The sequence below is a fragment of the Homo sapiens genome, chromosome 10, assembly GCF_000001405.40.
Source record: "Homo sapiens chromosome 10, GRCh38.p14 Primary Assembly".
NCBI classification, from domain to species: domain Eukaryota; kingdom Metazoa; phylum Chordata; class Mammalia; order Primates; family Hominidae; genus Homo; species Homo sapiens.
In genome coordinates, this window is record NC_000010.11 from 113,526,917 (window position 1) to 113,532,392 (window position 5,476).

At 46.7% G+C, this 5,476-nt stretch overlaps 1 long non-coding RNA gene across 1 annotated transcript; it reads left to right on the forward strand.

Moving 5' to 3' along the window:
- Positions 1–260: 260 nt before the first annotated feature.
- On the forward strand, positions 261–5,237 carry LOC124902504 (uncharacterized). Its single transcript, XR_007062293.1, has 2 exons — positions 261–350; positions 5,015–5,237. It is a non-coding gene; the product is annotated as an uncharacterized LOC124902504 (long non-coding RNA).
- Positions 5,238–5,476: the final 239 nt, after the last annotated feature.

A 5,476-nucleotide genomic window follows, 5' to 3' on the forward strand; every position in this document is an offset into this window, starting at 1 on the left:
CCAGCAACTCTGCCAGGAAAGGACCACTGTTGTCTCCATTTCCTCCATGTGAAAACTGAGACTTAGAGAAGTAAGCAACTTACCAAAGATCTAACAGCCAGTGTGTGTGTGACTCTTTCAGCAGGACCCACAGCAGGAATTTGAACACAGATCAGTTAGACCCCAAGCCAAGCTCTTAGTCCCATACAGAGTTGGGCCCTGGTGGAAGAATTGTTTGGCCTAAAGTGTCAACAGTGTCAAGATTGAGAAGCCCTTGTGTAGACCCAAGGATGGGCAAAAGGCTCTTAGGAAGATGGCAGCGCTTCACAGATGCAGTGCCCAAGTCTCTCTGGCCACGGAATCCCCCAGAGGTAAATATCCTCCACATTACTGCTGGCATTTCCTTCTCTACTCCACGAACTACTTCACTGGGACATATTCCAGGCCACTTCCTGCTGCTTGGCGCCTGCTGTGTGTCTAAGCTGAGGATGATGGATTTTCTGTGCTCAGGGCCATCCATGTGTGTACGCAGCCCTGATGTTGTGTGTGTATCCTGCATCCTGAAGTGTAATTTATTAGGTCTAATCCCTGTCTGGGGTAACGGTAAGTCTTCCCTCTAGAAATGCTGAGGAGGGGGGAATGTGCTCATTATTATTTCATTAGGACACCACTGGGTATTCCAGGAGTCCCAGAGTAGATATCACATGTTCCTCGGGTGATTTAGAGGAGACAGCCTGGGGCCTCGTTCCTCCAAAACTCGGGAAAAAATATCCACAGATTTCCATAAATATGTCCTGGCCTCTCTTCTGATTACTAAATTCCTTTCTTTTCACCTCATGCCAATTTTGTCTTTCCACATAAGTACAATATACAAACATTTCAAAAGAAAGCATGGGATATTTACTGTTTCCTCAACAATGCAAGCAATAGTTTCAGAAGCTAATGTCAGCCTCAAAAGTTTCCAACCTCAAAACTTGTGTTTCTGCATCTTCTCTCTGAAATCAGCTTTGATGAAGGCTACCAGGACAAGATAGCATTTCATAGATTCTCCTTCTTTGTCCAGCTCAGCCTGTCTAAATGCAGAGTGAGGGGAAAGGCATAGAATTATCAAGAGATGCCCAAGCTCTGTTTCCCCAAGAAGGATCCACACTCTCTCAATCATCTAGCCTTGTCCTTCATTCTCCAGCCCCCTTCCCATGTGCATGGTAAGCTTAACATACCCAACATGATTTGAATGTCACTGGATTCCAATTCCCCAACTCACAAGGTAGATGTTCTTCACATGAGCATTTCAACTCAGATACCTTTTGGGTCCTTTCCCTTCCCATCCTATTGAATGGAGCCTGCAACTGATTTGATTTGAGAATGAATCATGGAGGTTACTTTTCTTGATACTGCCAAGTGCTTGCACCCTGCCCACAGTTGCCCACCATCACCATGGACCTTGCAACTTTGTCCATCACTACCAGAAGCAGCTGGACTGGGAGTGGGTCACAGGGGGGCTGAGGATTCAAAACCTTGGGGTCAAATCCTAACACAATAGCTTGGTAACTAGATCCCTTGGGAAAATCATTTCCCCTCTATGAGCCTCAGTTTCCTCATCTGGCAAATGGGAATCTTTGTACCTACCTGACCGGGTTGTGCTGAGCAGCAAATGAAATAATGCATGTGAAAGCAGTTTTCAAACTGCAAGGGGCAACTTGGGGCCAAATGCGGTGGCTCATATCTGTAATCCCAACACTTAGGGAGGCTGAGGCAGAAGGATTGCTTGAGCTCAGGAGTTCAAGACTAGCCTGGGCAACAGAGTGAGACCCCATCTCTACTAAAAATCAAAAAAGTTAGTTGGATATGGTGGTGTGTGCCTGTAGTCCCGGCTACTCAGGAGGCTGAGACAGGAGGGTCACTTGAGCCTGGGAGGTCGAGATTGCATTGAGCTGTAATCACCCCGCTGAACTCTGGCCTGGGCAACAGAGACCCTGTCTTGAAAAAAAATGATTCTGCTCCAATAATAATAATACCTGATGTTTACATTATATTATGACATTTTGCTGTGTATCAGTGGAAACAGTGGGTGATGTGGAAGGAAATGACTCCTCTGTAAGGGTAAGCTCAGAGTCCCTGGGCTTAGGCTGTGCTGGGGTGAGGCCACTGTGCTGATTGTCACCATCTTATCAGCTGAGCGAGTGAAGGGAGGGGACTGGCTCTGCATCACTGCCTCAAAGGCAGAGTCAAGGTTCCAGATTTGAACATCCTGATGATCACCCTTTTCCCAGGAAGAAAATATCTGACAAAATGAGACAACAGGACGACTCTTTCCTTCCCCTTTTGCTTGACGTGCAGCGACACGGTCACGTTGGAAAGTTCACACACTAAGTTTCGAAGTCATTTCTGTTTAGCTCATCAATAGTTGCTGTATTAGAACTATCCCATGCCTAAGAAGCATTTTAAGCCTTTTTAAGCTCCAAAGATTAGGGTGCAACAGGGAGGGGTTAAGAGGAGGACAGATAAACAAGACTGGAGCGCATTCTCCATGCAGAGAAGTAGATTCTGTACTTTGGTTAGATTAATCCCCAAATTGAAACCGGCCCTGAACATCGTTCTGAGAAAGGAGAGCCGAGAGATAAGAGAAAGCCCCTTGGCAAAGCCTGGGCATTGAGCTGTTTGTGGAAATGCCGACTGCGTCCTTTCCCTGCCGCCAAAGGACAGAAAGACAAGACCGCGGAGGACAAATAGAGAGTGAGAGTTTCCTTAAGGACAGTCAGGGAAACAGGAGAGGGAAAAGGAAAGGAGCAGAGGCCACATGGGTGATGACTCCATGTTTTGTCAAAGCATCATGGCGTCTTCCCCACCGAGCCTTGGGACCACTGACCTGCCCGGGCTCACACCATAGAAAGCACACACATTGGGTTATGCAAAGACCAAGTGCTGGGAAGGCCAGCTTTGCTTCCAGTCTCAGGCAAGGACACTCACAGAGGACTGTCACACCCACACGAGCAAGGTAACCCCCTTTCTTGAGCATGCCTGGTTTCCAACCTGTGGCCTTTTTGAGAGAAGCAGGCTGTAGCCCCCAAAGGACTCATGTTTGTGCTTGAAGGCTGAAGACTGGCACCAAGGAGCTACTGGGACATGGGATCTGAAAGTGGATCCCCACAGGATTCATGGCAGCATGACTGGAATTTCTGAGTTTTCCAAAGGGCCTGAGAGCTTCCAAGGGGACATTGGAGGTGTTGATGACTTAAAATAAGTCAGGCCAGGTGTGGTGGCTCACACCTGTAATCCTAGCACTTTGCGAGGTGGATCACTTGAGCTCAGAAGTTCAAGACCAGCCTGGGTAACGTGGTAAGACCCCGTCTCTACAAAAAAATACAAAACTTAGCCAGGCAGGGTGGTGCATGCTTGTAGTCCCAGCTACTCAGAGGGCTGAGGCAGGCATAGCACTTGACCCCAGGACGTCGAGACTACAGTGAGCAGAGATTGCGCCACTGCACTCCAGTGGGGTGACAAAGTAAGACCCTATGTCAAAAAATGAAATTAACAGTCATATGATTTTATAGTCATACCTGTAAAGACCGAATTACAGTGTCTGCAGACATGGCCTTGCAAGGCCCAGCAGCCAGGAGCAGGGATGTGGCACAACCCAGTGCCCAGGAAGGGCCCTGCAGGGAGGGGCTGTCAGAGAAGCGGAGCTCCCAGAGCAGTGTGAGTGACCCGCGGGAGAAGAGGGAAAGAGCAGTAGGGGAGGGGGAGATGGCTCCCGGCTAAAGGAGAAACTGGAGTCGCTCGTTCTCCTTTCTGTCTAAAGCTTCGAGGAATGCCACGTAGAATTCAGACAGTCCAGGAGCCAAGCAAGAACGCAGGGAAATGGCAGCGATGTCTGCAGGACTCAGCGAGACTGCAGGAAGGTGACAATATGGGGCTACATGGAGAAGGTGCCCCAGGAAGACCCTGAGCTCCCCATCTGCACTGCCCTCGGCTCTGCGAGGAAGGACACTCTGCTGAAGGGATTTGGACATCTCAGGGACCTTTTGATTTTCATGTACTGTTTACTGACACTGCTCAGGGCAATGTGGGTTTCTCTGTAATTAATTCTCTCTACCCACAATTGTATGGTGAAGAAAGATGTTGGGGTTACATGGCTGTCCAGGATCTGAGTTATTCCTAGAAACACAGAATGGAGTGGAACTGGAGAGAACATGCCAGAAAAAGCAACAGTCCATGCAACTAGCCCGAAAAGCCTGGGAGAGGCACAGCATGCACAGTTGCACAGTCTTAACTTTTTTTCCAGATTTTTTTTACATAGAGAGAGAGAGATGAGGGCTCACTGTGTTGCCCGGGCTGGTCTCAAACTCTTGGGCTCAAGTGATCCACCCACCTTGGCCTCCCAAAGTTTTGGAATTTTAGGTGTAAGCCACTGTATCTGACCTGTTTTCCAGATTTTTTTTTTTTTTTTTTTTTTTTTTTGCGACAGAGTCTTGTTCTGTCGCCAGGCTGAAGTGCAGTGGTGCTATCTCTCCTCACTGCAACCTCTGCCTCCCAGGTTCCAGCTATTCTCCTGCCTCAGCCTCCTGAGTAGCTGGGACCACGCCCAGCTAAGTTTTGTATTTTTAGTAAAGACAGGGTTTCACCGTGTTGGCCCAGCTGGTCTCAATCTCCTGACCTCGTGATCCACCTGCCTCGGCCTCCCAAAATGCTGGGATTACAGGCATAAGCCACTGTATCCGGCCTGTTTTCCAGATTTTTAAGTGGCATTTCTTCCTTCTAACCTGTTTCCATCCTCCTGCTGCAGTTTCACTTGTCCTATCTTTTGGAGAAAACAAAATACATATATTACTATTTTAGAAAATATAAAATATTTTTAAAATTTATCAAAACCACAGAATTGCATCCTTTTTAAATGTAAATTTTGTACCAAAGTTATATGTACACATAATTTCAAAAATAAGTAGCACTAACTGGCTCATAATGAAAAATAATCCTCCCCTCTCAAACCCAGAGGCAACTGCTTTTTAAATGTTAAAATTGTTTCTATTTTTAGTTCTGGTGATCACCTCCATATCTCCAAATAATGTGTTTCTACCACCACTTCTTGCTTTATCAACTATGCACTTTATCTACTGACCTTCTACCGGGATAAATGAAGACTCAGCTCACCAAAAACTCACCTGCCTCTCTTTCATCCTTCTTCCCAAGATAGCTAAATCAGTTCTTAATTCTTCTACTGGTCACCTTTGTGTAAATAAAGCATACATATTAAATAATAATGTGTATTATTTTGAACATGTATGATTTGCACACATTTATATGTCTGTATGTGCATGCTGTAGTGTCTTTTCTGTGTTTCATCATATCTCTTTTTTTTTTTTTTTTTTTGAGATGGAGTCTCGCTCTGTCACCCAGGCTGGAATGCAGTGGTGCCATCTCGGCTCACTGTAACCTCTGCCTCCTGGGTTCAAGCAATTCTCCTGTCTCAGCCTCCCGAGTAGCAGGGATTACAGGC